This window comes from Homo sapiens, chromosome 4 (assembly GCF_000001405.40).
Source record: "Homo sapiens chromosome 4, GRCh38.p14 Primary Assembly".
Taxonomy (NCBI): domain Eukaryota; kingdom Metazoa; phylum Chordata; class Mammalia; order Primates; family Hominidae; genus Homo; species Homo sapiens.
In genome coordinates, this window is record NC_000004.12 from 184,408,499 (window position 1) to 184,427,288 (window position 18,790).

The 18,790-nt window shown below is 45.2% G+C and overlaps 1 protein-coding gene across 1 annotated transcript in view, besides 5 other annotated features; it reads right to left on the reverse strand.

Annotated features, from left to right (window-relative positions):
* The window catches only part of IRF2 (interferon regulatory factor 2), an 86,822-nt gene that overhangs the window by 20,770 nt on the left and 47,262 nt on the right, over positions 1–18,790 (reverse strand). The window contains exons 3-5 of the mRNA NM_002199.4: positions 10,971–11,070; positions 10,034–10,210; positions 9,669–9,715 (exon numbers count right to left, since the gene is read on the reverse strand). Coding sequence (NP_002190.2) covers positions 9,669–9,715; positions 10,034–10,210; positions 10,971–11,070 — 324 coding nt within the window. The remainder of the gene's footprint in view (positions 1–9,668; positions 9,716–10,033; positions 10,211–10,970; positions 11,071–18,790) is intronic.
* Positions 4,757–5,051: a silencer, noted in NCBI's record as "tiled region #12125; K562 Repressive DNase matched - State 5:Enh". NCBI's record gives its function as "represses a minimal TATA promoter and a strong SV40 promoter by Sharpr-MPRA in K562 cells {active_cell/tissue: K562}" and the evidence as "EXISTENCE:reporter gene assay evidence [ECO:0000049][PMID:27701403]".
* Positions 8,985–9,154: an enhancer, noted in NCBI's record as "active region_22216". NCBI's record gives its function as "activates an Ori minimal core promoter by ATAC-STARR-seq in GM12878 lymphoblastoid cells {active_cell/tissue: GM12878}" and the evidence as "EXISTENCE:reporter gene assay evidence [ECO:0000049][PMID:35858748]".
* Positions 9,345–9,644: an enhancer, noted in NCBI's record as "active region_22217". NCBI's record gives its function as "activates an Ori minimal core promoter by ATAC-STARR-seq in GM12878 lymphoblastoid cells {active_cell/tissue: GM12878}" and the evidence as "EXISTENCE:reporter gene assay evidence [ECO:0000049][PMID:35858748]".
* Positions 9,345–10,722: a biological region, named in NCBI's record as "MED14-independent group 3 enhancer GRCh37_chr4:185339175-185340374".
* Positions 9,523–10,722: an enhancer, noted in NCBI's record as "MED14-independent group 3 enhancer chr4:185339175-185340374 (GRCh37/hg19 assembly coordinates)". NCBI's record gives its function as "activates an origin of replication core promoter dependent on BRD2, BRD4, P300/CBP and CDK7 cofactors, and independent of MED14, by STARR-seq in HCT116 cells {active_cell/tissue: HCT116}" and the evidence as "EXISTENCE:reporter gene assay evidence [ECO:0000049][PMID:35650434]".

The window sequence follows — 18,790 nt, forward strand, 5'->3', positions numbered from 1 at the left end:
CGGTACCGGCCCATCTGGCTTGCCTTTAGGAAATGCTTCCACCTGCAGACAATAGCTTTGGGGCTACGCAGAGCTGCATCATTGTCTCTGTAAAATGCTGCACTGCGTGGATTCTACACTCTCCTCCTCTGAGGGGGTGCTCAAAAGAATCAATGCCTGGCTTTCACCAGGGAGGAATCATGCTACCTCTTTCATAATTATTTCTTAGGAAAAGCTCTGCCTCAGTGACTGGCCCAAGAACAGGAGCCCAGAGGACATTGTAGATGAATTCTCTGCAGATAAGTTTTGCCATGGCCTCTGGCCACCTGAGGCCCTGCATTGGATGGCTGGCTGATCACCCTGGCCTGAGTCCAGCCGGGCAACCCCACACCATGGGCTTTACATAAATGCCCTTCAGGTGGCTGAATATCTCATCCAGCCCAAGAATTCTGCACGTGCACACTAATGAAATAATGAGAACAAATTCCTTTCCCTTATTGGAGCTCTAAATGTGTGCTTTTTTTTCAAGTGCACCAGAACCCTCCACTCCCTTGTACTAAACAGCTCTGCAAAAGCCAGCCCTGAGGTGCCTGTGGACGTTCAGCTCTCAAGGTAAGTTTGCATCTGCTGCTACGATAGCAATCAAGTCAGACAAAAGCCACACAGGACAACACCCAAGGAATCCAAAGCGGAAGAGGGTAGAGAGCAGAAGGAACACAGGACTGGAAGCAGAGGATCATGCAAGTAGACGTGACTGTGCTTGGAAAAGTCAACAGTGGTCGGCTCTGAAACATGGTGGGTGTTCTCATCAGCTTATTTATACACTACTTGGAATCAATCCCCCCAAAATCCTCAAAAAGTCACTAACGGAAGGAGGGGAAATAACCTCCTCCTTCATAATCCCACCTGGCAAACTCCCACCTTAATAACATGACTTCAAAGGCATCACTCCACTGTATAGCTCGGTTTTTAAACAAACCATACACTGCCTGGTTTACCAGATGTCCCGAAGGTCCAGCGTAAGGGCAGGCCCAGAATATCCATCCCTACCAGGCACGATTTTTACTCCTTTCTCCCCCAGCATCTTGCACTCTTCTCTCTTACAAGTTCTAAATAAGAAGTCTGCCTTTTCTTGGGCCAAGCACGGTGGCTCACCCTGGAATCTCAGCACTTTGGGAGGCTGAGGCTGCAGGATCGTTTCAGCCCAGGAGTTCGAGACCAGCCTGGGCAACATAGCAAGACCCTGTCTCTACAAAAAATGAAAGCATTAGCCGGGTGTGGTGGTGCACGCCTCTTGTCCTGGATACTTGGGAGGCTGCGGTGTTGGGAGGCTCTCCTGAGCCCGGGAGTTCAAGGATGCAATGAGCTATGATCATGTCACTGCACTCCAGCCTGGGTGACAGAGCGAGAGCCTGATTCTTAAAGACAAAAAAAAAAAAAGTCTGCCCCTTCTGAAAACAAAAAACAAAAAACAAAAAAAACCCACTTGCCTGTGACCTGGGTGAGTCAGCAGGTTTTCCCTTCCTTCACAACCAAACTTCCGACCCGCTGTCTGCCTTTCCGGACTTCGCCTCTCCACCTGGGCCCCCATTAGTTCCTGTGGTCTCGCTTCCTCTCCACCTGCAGAATCAAGCTCCCAGAAGGGTCTTGAGAGCTCGGGCTTTGGAATCAGAAGGGCCTGGAGCAAAGCCTGGCACCTCCACTCCTCACTGGTTGCAGCTCCTTATTTAACCTCTGTAAGCCACCCTAGGGCACTGCGGACAGTTGTAAACTGAGGACAATAATAGGACCCACGTCATAGGGATAAGGTGAAGATTAAATGAGCTAACTACGTACATGGCACTTACTAGTAAATAAGCACTCACCATTACCAAAGGTCACCAACAAAACTGTGCTCTCCCAAATCCAATGGCCTTTTCTCAAATCCCTTCCCCCAGCCCCATATGCTGACCTCTGATGGACCATGCTATCCCTCCATGGCGGCCTGAACTGTCTGACACTGCTGCAATTCTCCATCTCTCCAACAGCAGCCTCCTTTCTCAATGGCGTCCTCAATGACCCCTGGTCAGTTTCCCCACCCCGAGTCATGCCCCACCTTTCACTAGTCCACCTCCATCTCTTCAACTCCCTCAAAAAGAACTAAGCACAGGCCTCTGAAGAAGTTACAAGAGAACTGCTCATTTGTATGGGCTTCCTTTGCTGTCTGACCTTATTTTTTTAGTCATTCTGTTTCTAGGTTTCTTATAAAAGTAATGAGGCAGTCAGGCTTGCATATATTTAAAAAGCTAAATTAATTCTGATTTCTCCATTGAAGACCTCTAAGTGTTACACATGATCTACAGTTTAATTAGTGACAAGTGATACTTTTATCACTTGAGAAAACGATGACTCAGAGACTAAATTAATTTTCCAAGATCACGCTACTTTTAGCCTGCAGAGACACCGGAACTGAACTCTGTCTTTGGTCACGAAATATGGTTCAATTCCAGGAGCTTTCTGTCTTAAGAAGCCCTTGTATCCTGCCCTAATTCCAGCGGAGACTGAGACACTCTTTTGAACACTGTTCTACTCTCTCTCCACACTTTTTTTTTTTTTTTTGACATGGGGTGTCACACTATCACCCAGGCTAGAGTGCAATGGCGTGATCTTGGCTCACTGCAACCTCCACCTCCCGGGTTCAAGAGATTCTCCTGCCTCAGCCTCCCAAGTAGCTGGGATTACAGGTGCCTGCCACCATGCCGGGCTAATTTTTTGTATTTTTAGTAGAGATGGGGTTTCACCATGTTGGCCAGGCTGGTCTCGAACCCCTGACCTCAGGTGATCTGCCCACCTCGGCCTCCCAAAGTGCTGGGATTACAGGCATGAGCCACCATGCCCAGCCTTCTACTCTCTCCATTCTTACCCTGTATCCTGCACTGACCACTTCTATAATGGCATCATATATTCCACCGATGGAGGCTAGGAGAGACTATTCCAAACACTGTGTTACTCCCCTCACCCCACTTCAAAAGAAACCCTGTCATTTCAGAGCCATCAGTGCCAATCATCTCACTGACACCGTCACTCTGGACAGACAGTACAGTCAATGGCACAGTAAAACGGAGCCAGCACCTCCCGAAACACCTCCATCCAGGGTGCAGAACAGGCCCAGGAGAGAAGGATCTTCACTAAACTGGGTCACAATTTTTGAAATGATTAGAAGTAGGAATATCTAAATCTAAGGTATATTAAAAATCCAAGGATCTCAAATGAAGAAAAGGGGTGTGGAGTTCTCTATGTAAAATAAACACAGAGATCCTGCAGGCCCTGAACACTCTTCGCCCGAAGCCTCTCCTGGACCCCCGATGCCCCACTCCTGCCCTGGCTCAACTCCTGCTTTGCTGCACCATAACCTGGCCCGGTTAATCCTGGTCAGGATTCACATCCCCTCTGTCTGCTCCCTTTCTCACTTTAGATAGAGACTCTTCTGTAAATCAAGTAACCCATAGCTTTCTTGGCTTTTAATTTTCTCCCCTTGCTCCAAAGATTAAAAAAAAAAAAAAAAAAAAAAAAGACTCTGCTTGGGTCCAGACTTCTCCACGGTGCATGAACTCCAGCAAACATTTATGTTCAAAAATCTTTGCTCTAATTGTAGAATCCAAGGATTGATCTACGTGGGTGCATGAACTCCGCCAAACATTGACGCTCAAGAACCTTTGCTATAATTACAGAATCCAAGGTTTGGTCTCTGGTTTAAGGGATTTTAAGCAAAAGCAAACTGGCACAAGAGAGAGTTCAGGGGCAGGAGCACACTTCTTTAGACCTGTAAAATAATACACCTTTAGCTGGTCTTGAAGCTACACTTGCTGAATGGGCTTGGGGACAGACCAGAGTTAGAGGACAGCAGAGGGACTCCCCTCTGCTCCGAGCCCATGCTGTCTCAACCCTGTGCTAATGCCCCTTGTCCCTGAAGTCCCATTTAATGGGCCTCCAGCCCACCTCCCACCTTCCAAAATGCTCTAACTCATCTGTGCAAAGCCAGTCTCTTTGAAGCCAGATTTAAGGACATCAAATTTAAGGACATCTCTAAGTCTCTGCTAACAGAACGTGTAGGCTGACAGCTGGACTTCACAAGCAGGTCAGGGAACTGGACCTTGGCGAGTGCACACACCCAGCACAGAGGCGCAATGCCACTGACAACAGAAGCTCTCGTAAGACAGGCTGGGGCCTCCTGCCCGGTCCCAGAACCACCTTCCTTCTGCTCCTTGCTTGGAATGAGGCCATCGTCATTCTCTTCCTCCCTTCTCTCACTGCAGCTTCCCTCTTGACTTTTTCCCTTAGCTCACTTTTCTCTGCATCTTCTCTGCGGGCCTTTGTCTGCATCTCTTAGAGAAGGCATCAGTTTCCAAAGCTACCAACGCCATTCTCAAGTAAATGACCACACATCTGCCCGTTGGGCACTCACTCAAGTGCTGTACCCTCCAACTTTCTAGCTGGCATTTACCTTCAGGGCTCTCTGTCACTTCAAAGGCAGCATGTCCAAAGCGAAACACCCTCTCCACAAAACGACCTGCATTCCCAACACTCGCTTCTGAAGGTGCAAAACGCCGGGGCCTCCTCTTTAGGCCGCTCTTATCTGCATCCTCCGTACCCTCTTCCACTTTCTGGAGAAATGTCTCCTCCCTCCATGCCAGTGGCACCAGCTACTGCCTTTCCACAGCAGTCTCTCCTGCCTCCCACTCCTTCCCATCCCGGTGAGAAAGGCCTCCCTTACATATCAATTCCCGCCTGCTCTAAGTGTGCTACAAGGAGTTCAACTGTGTCTCATTCCGTAAAACTGTCCCTCAAGCTCTTCCAACTGGGTTCGGAGCTCCCGTTCTGAGCTACCACATGGGAAGGGAGGATCCCGGGCAGGCAGAATAAGCCTGATAACCTGCTTCACCCAGGGCATCTCTCATCTTATCTGTTTTTCAAGTGAGTTGCTGGTGTGTGCTTTCATTTGATTAAAGTTTAAAAACTGAAGACCTCTTCCAACTAGTGAAGGGATCACTCCAGTAGCAGCCCTGCCAGGGAGTGTGCTGTGTTTTAATCCAGCTCAGGTCACTGTTAGAGCCAACAGCTCTATGAGAAAGAGCAGCCGAACCCCTATCTGCTTTTCTGTAACTTCTACCCATAGGTCTGTGCTCAGAACGAATACAGACCAGGCCTAATCTTTTCCAAGCGACTTTGGCAGCCCTTCCCAATTCTGTCTCCTTCATAACACTAACACTTTGATCCGGAAGCACTTTACAGTTTCAAGCATGTATGTTTCAGCTGCAAACAACCCTCCGAAGCAGGAAGTACCCATTTCTATTCGCCCCACCTACATGCCTGTATTTCCCATTGCCCTCTCACACAAACTCCTGCTCTAATTAAGCCAGTTTCCTGTCTCATCCAGGAAAGACAAACCAACTGTAATCTCCAGGCCTTCATTCCTGATGCCCCTAGTGCTGCGGAAGGACCAGTTTGACCCTGTCCACCCCTCAAGGCCTGGCTTAGGCCCCAAAGGCTACGAGGCACCCGGTGGACAAACTTGGATTCAAATCTCAGCTCTGTAAAGCAATGCAGCCTTGGGAAAATGAATCAGCTTCTCTGTGCACCCATTTCCTAAATGTATAAAAGGGAAATGACCTGCCCATCACAGGGAGAACTCAGTGAGACAAAAATCATAGCTGGGAACTTGGAATCAGCTCAAAAATATCAACTAGCACCCCTCTGTTTTAACTACTTCTATTCTTACTGTTCTTGGCCTTGTCTGAAGTCTCAGAGCAAACCGTTCCATGATATTTTCTGAAACATATACATGCACTGATGATGTAGAATCCAGGATTTCTCATTATTGTTTTTCTTTCTTTTTTGAGGTGGGGAAGGGGTCCTGCTCTGTTGCCCAGGCTGGAGCGCAGTGGTGCAATCACGGCTCACTGCAGCCTCAAACTCCTGGGCTCAAGCCATCCTCCTACACCTCAGCCTCCTGAGTAGCTGGGACAGGCATGTACCACTGTACCCAGCTGTTTTTCTTGTTCTTATTTCCTTAGATAACCAGTTACCGCCGCACAGGTGGGGCTTAGCTCAAGGAAAACATGGCTGACTGAGTTTGTAGGGATATGCTCACAAAGCGAAATGTCAGAGGATGCTGAGGCCGTTTCTGCACCTGCCACATGGCCAATGGGCCTTGGGTGTTCCAGTCTTGGGGAGACTATTTGTTGGGGGACATATAGCATGGAGATAAATCATGAGTGACCCCAAGAAAATTCTAATACTTGGCCTACATGTTGTAAACATTGTTTGCTAATTAAAACTTCAACTTGAAGATTGGGAAAAGCTTGCTTCAACAGCAAATATTCATACCTAGTTACCATATGAAAGACAAATTTCCTCAGTAGAAGAAACCTACGTAGTGTATCCAGTTACATATTTGGATAGACTAAGTAGGTTTAGTATATTTGCACAGGATATATTAACTCAGTGCTTGGGTGTTTTGATACACAATTAAAAAGTAATATATTAATAGCTAGTAATTGTCCTCTGACTTTCCAATTCCAGACGCCCTAGGGAGTTCACTTTTCAAACACTCTACAGAGACACTGAGTCCACACAATAGCTTGAACAGCCAGGAAGCACAGAACTCGGGAAGCCCACTGGCCTCTTCTGAGCTTCCCTGCTACACTGGAAAGCACAATGCAAGTAGATCTAAATTCAAAAGTAAGGCTGTGTTTAGGCCTAATGAATCACCTGCCTTCCGCTGAAGGAATCAGGTCCTTTCAAGAAAAAAGTTTCAGGTATGAATCATATCTTCACGGCACAAGGATTTCATAAAACACACTTGGCTGAGGTGGCTCTTGACCCACACGGCTGCACCTAACGGGATCTCTCACTTACTTCCCTGGGCCAGGATGGTCAAGCCCACCCAGGACCGTGCCTTCCACAACTTGCTCATTTCAGGGCCATGTGAAGACACCACCAGTGCCCATGTGGCTGTAGAGATCCCAGACAAACGGGACCACCACATGGCATGAACTACTAAGATGTACATTTCCTCGCATTGCCACATCCCTGAAAGAGGACATGCCTTTCAATCCATTACGTGTCATGGTTTCATTGCAAGCAGTTTTTCTAAGAGATACATAAAATAACAGTGCATCTTAGCATCATTGGCATCTGGCGTTCGATGGAATACAGTGGGTACATGTGAGCAAAGTGTGTTGAAAAGGCAACATCTGTTACTCCGTTCTTATTTCTCCATTAACTGCGATTATGAAATTAAATCTGCATCCTAATGGAAAACCCCTCACTCCCACCCCACATATCCTACTTATTTATACATCTATTTAGTCAACAAATGCGGATGCATCTATTCAGTTATCAAATACGTATTAGTGATCTGTTCTGGGCCAGGCACTGAGCTAGATAATGGGAAAAGAGTAGTAAATACGATTCAGTCACACTTGAAATTGTAGCAAATTCTCACACATGTGTGAGAAAGCTGTGCTTTTCTGACTAAATAACATGAATCAAAACGTAGGCCTTAAAAATACAAACTCAGCCAGGCTCACACTTGTAATTCCAACATTTTGGGAAGCCGAGGCAAGAGGATTACTTGAGGCCAGGAGTTTGAGACCAGCCTGGGCAACAGAATGAAACCTCACCTCTATAAAAGAAAATTTTTTTAAATTATCCATGCTTGGTGGCACACACCTGTAGACCCAACTACTAGAGGGAGGCTGAGGCGGGAGGATCACCTGAGCCCGGGAGGTTGGGGCTGCAGTGAGCTATGATCGCGTCACTTCACTCCAGCCTGGGTGACAGAGTAAGACCTTGTCTCAAAAAAAAAACAAAAAAAAAAAAAAACGAAAAAAAAAACTGTGAGAAACGATATGGCTAACAACTAGGTTTGTTCAATTGTAAAAAAAAAAAAATGTTTTAAGAGGTAATATAGGAGAAACATATATCCTTAAAAAATACTTAAAAGACATTCAAAAATCACATGTGGATTTTATATGGGTCTTAATTTAAGTAACAAACTACACGAATGTTATAACATGTATGAAACAACTGAAACTCTGACCACTGGCTGGATATTCACTGATATTGAGAAATTACTGTGAACTTTTTCAGGTACAGTAATGACATCATGGTATTTTTACAGAGCACTTATCTTTTAAATATATATACTGAACTATTATGGAAGAAATGCTATGAGGTTTGGAATTTGCTTCAAATTCCAAAAAATAGTTCAAAAAAAAGCTGAACTATAAAAAATTGTTTTGGGGCCGAGTGCCGTGGCTCACGCCTGTATTCCCAGCACTTTGGGAGACTGAGGTGGGCGAATCACTTAAGGTCAGGAGTTCAAGACCAGCCTGTCCAACATGGTGAAACCCCATCTCTACTAAAAATACAAAAATTAGCTGGGCATGGTGGCACGTGTTTGTAGTCTCAGCTACTCGGGAGGTTGAGGCAGGAGAATCGCTTGAACCCAGGAGGCGGAGGTTGCAATGAGCCAAGATCGCGCCATTGCACTCCAGCCTGTGCCAATAGAGCAAAACTCCATCTCAGTTTAAAAAAAATTAAATAAATAAATTACTTCTGTAAGTCAAAAATGGTTGAAGGGCTGCAATTTCATGTTAGAAGTCAGGAAATGGGAGGGGCTATTGATGAAGCAAAACTGGCCAGGAGCTGATTAAGGTTAAAATTAATCTGAATGATGGCCTATGGGGTAAATTTTACTCAACTGTCTCCTTCCTATGTGCATAAAATCTTTCCACAATGAAAAGTTAAAACAAAATTAGGCCTTTAATACAGTACAATATTTAAATTTAGTTAAAAATAAAAACTAGTAAAAGTGAAACTGAAAGCATCACTGCAAAAACACCCTCCGCCTAAATTTCTTCATCTGCAAAGGGAGGCCAGGGAGCTCGACAATCTCTCTGAGATCCCTGGGTCTGTGACCGCAGTGTATGCTCTCTGCTCAGCCACTGAAGCTCGTCCCCAGTTTTGCAGGGCATATTCGGCTCTTCTCTTACTATTTAACAAGGGCCACCTAATCTATGCATAAAGATCCTCAGACTGTAGGGGAGTTCAGACGACACAGCCTAGTGAGAAGCTGACACACACATGCACATCCCATGGAAAACCCTTGTGGGGTGTGAGAGATGATTCTACAGTGGACAGAAGGCAGCCATTGAGAGCTGTTCTGATAGAGTGCTGACATTGACCACTCTGTCCCCCACCAAAGGGCCTGTGACGGAATGTCTGTAACATAGAGTTCATACATTGTATAGAGGTCTATAACATTTAATACATATTAAAGTATACTTAATAGCCTGAAAATATACTTAATAGTATGAGAATAAGCTGTTGTGGAGTTTAGCTGGCACAAAATGACCACTGGCAACGGCTGTGGTGGCCAGATGGAGGCCTCAGCCTGCCGAGCACAGTGAGAATCTGTGACTTCATTCATAAATTTCCCAGAGAAACGGGATGAGGCAGGGCCCTGTGTACCTCCATGTCTGCAAGTGGATACATGCTGAAGAGCAAACATGTAAAGCACAGAAGACACAAGCAAAGGAAGAAAGAGGACACACTGAGGTCCTGTGACTCATCTTTACAAGGCAGAATATGAGTCATTAATAGGATCCCAACTTTGGCTTTCTCTCTGAATCACCCAAGATTACCTTGATGTGCTTAACTTTGTCTTCTTTTTCTGTCTTTGGTTTCTTTCCTGTGGCAACAAAAATGTAGTTTTGGATTAATTCACGAAGGGCCTCCAGAGAAACATTTCCCTCAAATTAAATTCTTTCTGAAACTCTCAATGAACCTGTTGCTTTAATCTGTACATGGTCAAAATTCCACATGTATCTTTCACTGCCTCTGGTGAATCGAAAGTCTTGTTTCCAAGCCAGGTAGGGGCGGAATGATCCCCTACAGCATGAACAGGCTATTCTACCTGCAAACTGACTGCAGATGTAGAAATGAAGAGATCACGAAGGCACGATGACACAAATTGATTTACCTTATTTTAGTCTGTAAATGCCTTTACCTTTCTTAGAAGGCCGTTCTGATAGGGGCAGCATTCGGTAGACCCTGAAGGCATTATTTCCTTTCTTTATGCTTTTATCCTTGACTTCTTCAATATCAGGCAAGGAATTCATGGCGCATCTGAAATTCGCCTTCCATGTTTTGGGATCAGGTTTATCTACTCCTGGTTGATGCTTTCCTAACAAAAGAGACAAAGATTAAGAAAAAGAGAGAAAACATTAGATACAGAGGAAGGAATTTCTGGAAACACAGTATTGCTGGTCAGGCAGTATAAGGAAACCTTTTCACTCCATGCTATACCTCCAGTGACCAATCGTCCTGGTGTACCTGGGGGTGAGAAAGTTCTTGGGATGTGGGAATTTTGTTTTTAAAACCTGAACAGTTCCAGTCAAACTGGGACAAGTTGGTCACCCTGGTTCTACTGAACAGCTTGAGGAAACTATAAATGCTGGAAGAATGGAGCATCAGCGTAAGAAAAATATAGAAGACTGAGAGGCTGCAAAGTCAACAGGCAGAGGGAAGCTGAGTGCCTCTTTTTCATCTGACGCTCCAACAAAGTCCATTCCTGTAAACAGCTCCCTACGTAAAGGTTGTAATAAATACAGGTATTTCTGACTACCTTTTTGGGGGGGAGATAAATTTGACCAAAGTTTATAGCATCAGAACAACTGAGTTTCTATTCCCCGGTAACACCTAGGGAACTTCTTAGAATACCACATTTATAGGAAATTGAAGGACTAAGAGTGTATGGGATGAGGGGAGCATTACTTCTGAGGGCTGCAGTTTGTACCCCATGTGTCCTGGATGTGCCTAGGGACAAGTCACAGGTTTTTCAGAGCCATCTTCATGAGGTCATAAGCCAGGCTATTTTATGTGTAATAAAAACAAAACTAAGCAAGAGTGCCTTCCTCTATAAACGCCGCAGGGAGTTTTAGTACCTGTATGGATTGCCCAGTTTCTAAAGAGTGGTGCATCTTTTTCCACATCCCACCCATGTCTAGCCGCATGCATCCAGGGGATCTGAAAAATCTTCTTTTCCTGAAAAAAAAAAAAAAAAAAAAGGTAAAGAACTGGAGTCATGGGTTTTGGCCCACCATTGCAAAAGGTTGTGAAGGTCTAGCCAGCAAGATTCCCCAGCAAGCATCGCTGAATGTGTTGACTGCTGACAAGAAAATCTACTGTAAACCAAACCCACTTCCCCCGCTGGATCCCAAATCTTGATAGACTACCCCGAGTGACAGTCAGTCTCGTGAAGTCTTGCAGAGCAGGAATGTTTTCCAAGGTCAAAGGTGATGATTTGACCTTGTGTGTTCCATTATTTGTGCCTCTTTTCTAGTTTTCAATATATTTTTTTGGAGACAGAGTCTCGCTCTGTTGCCCAGGCTGCAGTGTAGTGGCGCGATATCGGCTCACTACAACCTCCACCTCCTGGGTTCAAGAGATTCTCCCACCTCAGCCTCCTGAGTAGCTAGGATTACTGGCATGTGCCACCACGCCTGGCCAAGTTTTGTATTTTTGGTAGAGATGGGGTTTTGCCATGCTGGCCAGGCTGGTCTCGAACTCCTGACCTCAAGTGATCTGCCCACCTCAGGCTTCCAAACTGCTGAGATTACAGGTGTGAGCCACCACACCCGGCCCTGTGCCTCTTTTTTTTATAAAACCACAGAAAAATGGCCACCTACCGAAACTTCTAATGCTTACTCTTATAATTTATTCTCGTCGTTTGGTAAATAGTAACTCCAGCTATCTTAGGTAAATTAAAAATTAGACAAGTTTCCAAAACCCTTGATGCTACTAAAGAAAAGTCGGGTACATCTGAGGCCACTGTCACAGAAACCAAATATCTCCATTTGCTTGTGCATCCAACAGAAATAGAAAGTAATGTTCGAATCCCTGTGGGTCTACTGCCTGCAAGAAATAGCAAGAAGTGCAAACAAAGAGGTAGAGGTTATGAAATGACACATTTTTCTGGAGAAACATCCCTCAATACAATCCTTATATCAGACTATCTCTACATCTCTCTCAGTGTTGAGGTCTGTAACTCAAAACCGCCTCAAGCAACCCTGAAAAACACATGATTGGAAACCCATGGTTTAGTAACAAAGCCGTACTCTTAGTAAAGCTACAGATGAGGAACCTGGCCCAAGCAGCTCTTGTGGCGGTACCGGCAGGTACTAAGGTCCCATTGGCACTGTGCATCTGACTACCCACATCCACAGGGACCTCAGTTTTGTCTTCCTCCCACAGCCTACTGAGTGAGGTATATGTTACGATTTCCATTTTATAGCTGAGGAAACCAAGAAGCAGATTTTAACTATTTAGTCAAGGAACTTGCAGGATAATAAGTGTCTAAGTTCAAAACCCAGGTCATGCGACTCCATATGCTATTACTTAATCACCCACTCATTGTCTCCCAGCTTTTAGATTTGGAAGAGTCCCTGTCCTATGACAGACCAGTTGAGACCTGGATTCTGTGGAGATTAAAGCCCAGGAGGTTGTACTCTTTCAAAGCTCTCAAGGCAGTTCTGGTAATTGCTAGGTATGCGGATCCCTGCACTAGATGCTGAGGAAGGAGAGGAAATGTCAGCAGGGAGTTTCCACCACTTCAGTCTCACATAGTGAAACACAGAAAGGGTCCCAGCTGTCCCCAAAGAGATTCAGCGCCTCTCCACAGAACCAATCACAAAGCCAGAACAAAGACTATTTCAGAACATTGGAGAGTTTCCCAAAACCTGTTAAAAGGAAAATTCTACCATCTTCTAAAAAGTCAGTTATTAAAGGAGAACTGAAAGTGAGAGACTTTTTCATAAATTCCTCGGTGTTCATTCTGTATCATCCACAGAGAGGGCTTCGGGTTAGCCAATTTCAAAAGGACAGTGATCAGAAAGGGGCTGAGTGACATTTTATGCTTTAATGTAGATGAAAATCGACAGCAAAATCACTTAATGCCATTTATTGATGTTCACATGAAAATGAATACAAGTGAAAATTCATTTCGTGAAAGAGCTTTTCCTGAAGTGCATGCCCAGAATCTAAAGCTTTATGCTTAAACACCGAGATTCTTAAGAATTTGCTGTTGCACTTTTTTCTAGATCAAAGGAGTTCTAGGGTGACACAATCTGAAATCTAACTTGCAAGACACAAAATTGATACAGATAAAGTAGATCTTTTTAAGCATCTGCACGCATGCATGCATACACATACACACACACACAACCAAACCTAGTCCCACAGAAACCGCAAAAGCCATGCAACTACAAAAGCGCTGACCAAACCCAGCAACATACACTATGGACCCTCTTGAAATGTGCAACAGGCCTGAGTAGACTGGAATAGTTCAGGTGTTTGTCCCCTCAAAATCTCGTGTTAAAATTTGATCGCTAGTGTTGCAGGTGGGGTCTGGTGGACGGTGTTTGGGTCATGGGGCAGGATCCCTCAAGAATGGCTTGGTGTCGTTCTCGTGGTAATGAGTAAGCTCTCACTCCATTAGCTCCGGTGAGAGCTGATTATTCAAAACAGCCTGTCGCCTGCACCATTCTCTCTTCCTCCCTCTCTTGCCATGTAATGCCCTTTGCCTCCCATCCTGAGGCCTTAACAGAGGCAGATGCCAAGGTCATGCTTCTTGTACAGCCTAGAACCCTGACCCAAAGAAGCCTCGTTTTTTTATAAATTACCCAGCCCCAGGTAGTCCTTTGTAGCAACATGAAACAGACTAACCCACAGACATGTCTCCAAAAAAAGATACACAAATAACAAACGTTGGTGAGGATGTGGAGAAACTGGAATCCTCACACATCGCTGTGGAAATGCAAAATGGTACAGCCACTCTGGAGAAAAAGTTTGGCCATTCCTCAAGAAAGTGAAACACAGAATTACCTGATGATCCAGGAATTTTACACCTGGATATATACCCAAAGAATTCTAAGCCAACATTCAAACCAAAACATAAACGTTCATAGCAGCACTACTTTCAAAAGCCAAAAGATGGAAACAACCCGAGTGTCCATCAGCTGATGAATGGGTAAACAAAATGTGGTATATCCATACAATGGAATATTATTCAGCCACAAAAAGGAATAGAGTATTGACACATGCTACCATGTGGACGAACCTTGAAAACATTATGCTGGATGAAAGAAGCCAGACACAAAAGGCCAAAAATTGAATGATTCCATTTACATGAAATATTCCAGAAAAGACAGAGAGCAGAGAGCAGACAGAGAGCAGAGATCCATAGAGACAGAGAGCAGATTACTGGTTGCCACAAGCTAGGGGGGAGGGAAATGGGAAGTGACTGATTAATGGGTACAGCATTTCCTTTTGGAGGGATAAAAAGTTCTGGAACTGGACAGTGGTGATGGCTGCATGACATCGTGAATGTCACTTTAAAATGGTAAATATTTTTTAAACTACATGTCACCTTTACCTAGTTTTTCATACTTCAGGAAAAAAAAGAAAAGACTAATAAACTTATCAGAAATATCTTTAAAATTGTATCACAGATTCTTTTTTTGAAGAAGACCATATGAAAAGGTAAGAGAAAGCAAGATTCATTTTAAAACTGAAAGAGATTCTGACCAGTAAACATTCTGGTCACAAGTTGTGTGTTCCATGGGACATGACGGTGTTGCTATGTGTGTGTAGACCCCGTGACGTCAGTATGTGCCAGGTGTCTCATCCCCGAGTGACCAGTCCTGCACACGTGGTGGTGGTACATGCTGTGTATAGACAGACGCGCCATGCCAGGGCCCACCATTTGTACGTGTGTGCACAACTCTGCCCATCTGAAGGAAGGCAGGAGAGATGAGCGCTGCTTGACTTCAGAAAAGCATCTGACATTATTTTGAGCAATGTAGAACAATGTTCCTTGGCCCCACATGGAAACTAGTTCTGTTATCTCCTCTGCCTCTTCTTCCCCCCAACATTTGCAAGACGTTCCAATTAGTGTGCTATTTTTGTCTGGACTCCTTACCGTGGTCAGAGATAGCCTGATGTTTACACAAACACAAGTCTACTCTCAAAGTGAAAAAAAGGGAAAGATCTGATGATTCCCCTGCCTTAGTGCATGGATCCAGGAAGAACTAAGAACATCAATAACCCCACCAGAGTTGGGGGTCACATGGAGCCACGAGAGAAACCAGGACCCCGGATGTGACTGCCTCCTTCCTTCCTCAAGAAATGGCCCAGGGAACCACAAGCAAGCATGTGGACAAACCCAAAACTAACCTGGTCTCAACAAGTCAATGGCGAGAAGGAAAAAAACAGAGGCCCACAGTCAGCAGAGACTTAGAGTCATAAACACCAAACACAACCTGTGGACAGTCTTTGAATTCTGATTTGAACAAATCAACTGTAAAAAGATTATTTGGGAATACTCAAGGCATTCTTAATATGAATGGAGCAGTGATGATATTAAACAGTACTAATTTTGTCCAATTAACAATGGTATATTGTGGATATATAAGAAAATGCCCTTATGTCTTACAATGTATGCTGTCAGGGAGCTGCTTTAATATACCAGATACACACAGATACACACACACACACACACACAAAGATAAGGCAAAATATTCATACATCTAGATACAGGCATATGAAAATTTGCTATCCTATTTCTTTTTGTCATTGGGCTACTCAAACATGCTATGCACATTTGCAAATACCCATAACCAAAGGTAAATTGCCCCAGCCAAGGTCTCATTCATGAGCTGGTTATAATGCACTTTTCCAAACTTCCTCGCTGTTCCTTCAGAGGAATCCAAGGGACCCATTCCATTCCCACCCTCCTTCAAACTTATTAAAAGTAGGTGCTATGGTTTGAATATTTGCCCCCTATGACACTTATATTGACATTTAATCCCCAATGTGGCAGTACTGAGAGGTGAGGCCTTTAAGAGGTGATTGAGTCATGAGGGCCCTGCCCTCATGAATGGATTAATCCATTCAGGGATTAATGGATTAATGAGTTGTCATGAGGGGTAGGATTGTGGCTTTTTAAGAGGAAGAGAGACCTGTGCTAGCACGTGAGCATGCTCTTTCCCCGCACCGGGTGATATCCTGCACTGCCTCAGGACTTTGCAGAGGGTCCCCACCAGCAAGAAGGCCCTCACCAGATGCAGCCCCTCAACCTTGGACTTCTCAGCCTCCATAACTGTAAGAAATAAATTCCTCTTCTTTACAAATTATCCAGAGTCAGGTATTCTGTTAGAAGCAACAGGGAACAGACTAAGACAATAGAGGATGGAAACAAATTTAAGGCATTAATTAACCAACTCTTTCTCTCTTACTAAGAATGGAGTAGGTTGAATGGACTTTCTGAGAGCCATGTGACAACTGCCAAGCCAGTGTCCATAAATCTGATTATCTTAACAGAACAAAAACACCACCAATGTTGCTCCCCTTCAAATCCATGACATTCATCTGTGTATTCCCAGAACAATTTTGACAGAGGGCCTCCCACTTACCAGGCACTAGGCCTGGCCCTGAGCATGCAGACATGAAGAAGATAGCCAAGGCACTGGTGCATGGGGCTCCCAGCCTGGAGCACTTCACAATAAACATGAACACATCCTGAATGCCGACTGAAGCAGAAGTGAGTCCCACAGCCCCATGGACAGTGTATTCTAAGAGTTACAACAATCTTCAGTGGCAAAAGAGATCTTGGAATGACCTCAAACCACTCAAAATATAAACAAGGATTCCCAGGCAGAATGCTTGTGAATGGGAGGGAAGAACATTAGGCTCTCAGTTAAGTATTTATATGGACAGATGAATGCCAACAAGCCTAAGTTAACGGAAACCTATAAAAAAATGCCCTGTGGGAGTGTAGGTATGGAGAGAAGAGATCCTGACCCCAGCCGAGGCCTGCAGTGACAGTGATGGCAGTGCCCATGTGCACGAGCAATGCCACGTGCCCACTCTGGCTAGGCCTCAGCAGGATGCAGCTTGACAGGGCCTCGGGGCCACAGTGCAGGCCTCGGCCTCTGTTCCAGGGCGGTGCTGAGAGGCGGCACGGGCCGGCAGCCACGGGCACGCTCTCCTTCATCAGCCTGGCTCAGGTCCAGCTGTAGCGGAGGAGCCCTGTGAGATGACACAGAGGTCTCCTTTCCTTCCATGCCTCGGGAAGAGAACTCTCGAGCCAAGAGCCAGATGAGTGACGCTCAGCAGGTAAGGACTGCCTGAAAGGGGCCAAGTGTTCATTTGCACAAAGGGAAATCCATTTGCCTTCTGGTCCTGTATCAGAAAAACATGGACAAAATAGATGGAAGAAAAGGCATCTCAACTGAGAGTCCCAGAAAGGAAGTGACCCTTAGAGGGTGCATCAATCTCCTAAGACTGTCATGAAAAATTACACAAACTGGGTGGCTCACAGCAACAGAAATGTATTCCATCACAGTCCTGAAGGCCAGAAGTCCAAAATCAAGGTCTCTGCAGGGCTCACTCCGGTTTTTGTTTGTTTGTTTGTTTGTTTGTTTGTTTGTTTGTTTTTGAGATGGAGTCTTGCTCTGTCACCCAGGCTGGAGTGCAGTGGTGCAATCTCAGCTCACGCAACCTCCACCACTGCAACCTCAACCTCCCAGGTTCAAGTGATTCTCTTGCCTCAGCCTCCCAAGTAGCTGGGATTACAGGCACCTGCCACCACACCCAGCTAATTTTTGTGTTTTTAGTGGAGATGGAGTTTCACCATGTTGGCCAGGCTGGTCTCAAACTCCTGACCTCAGGTGATCTGCCCAACTCAGCCTCCCAAAGTGCGGGGATTACAGGCGTGAGCCACTGCGCCCAGCCAGGGCTCACTCCTTTCCAAGGCTCTGGGAAGGATCCTTCCTCGCCTCTTCTTGGAGTCCCTCGGCTGCGGCTGCCTATTTCCAGTCTCTGCCTCAGTCCTCACATGCCCCTCTCCTCTGTGTGTGCCTTCTCCTCTTCTGTCTCTTATAAAGACACTCCTCATTGGCATCAGGGCCCACCCAGAAAATCCAGGATGATTTCATCTCAAGGTCCTTCACTATATCTGCAAAAACCCTTTTTCCAAATGAGGTGACATCCACAGGTTCTGGAGGTTAGGATGTGGACATATCTTCTCCGGGAGCCACAGTTCCATCTACTACAGCACCAAGAAGGGACTAATGGTTAGTCTAAACCAACCACAGCGGTCAACATATCAGGCACCTGCTCAACAGGAGAGGTGTGAGACACTGTCTCTTCTCCACTGCATCCTGCCAACCAAAACTAGTGGAGGTATTTTTGAAAAAGGAAAAGCAGAAGCAGACCACTTGCTTCTCTTTAGAACACAGGAGCATTTGCTTTCCTCTCCCACTCCACATCAAACAGTAATGCTACCTTGTTCCTCAAAACAGAATCTTACTTAACCTCTCTGTGCCTTGGTTTCCTTGTCTGTAAAATGGAAAATATTAACTGTACCTACCCCATGGTGGCGGAACGTGAGCTAATGCATGTACCTTGCTTAGAAGGGTGCCTGGCACACAGTAAGTGCTGAGTACAAGTCAGCTTTCATTCAGTGTCATTTGCTACCCTGGCTCTCCAGCTCCCCTTTACTCTGGTCCCCCCTTCCTTATACCTCCACGGCACCCCTGCTAACTGAGCTGACCAAGGAGCAACTCCATTTCTTGTTTGTTTCTTTGGAAGAAGCTGATTACATATGTAAATCTAAAACACTATAGATAGAGCAACCCTAGAAAAATACATTGTGGTAAGACCTTGAGATATGGGACAGGTCACAGGAAATAAGCAGATGGTTTCT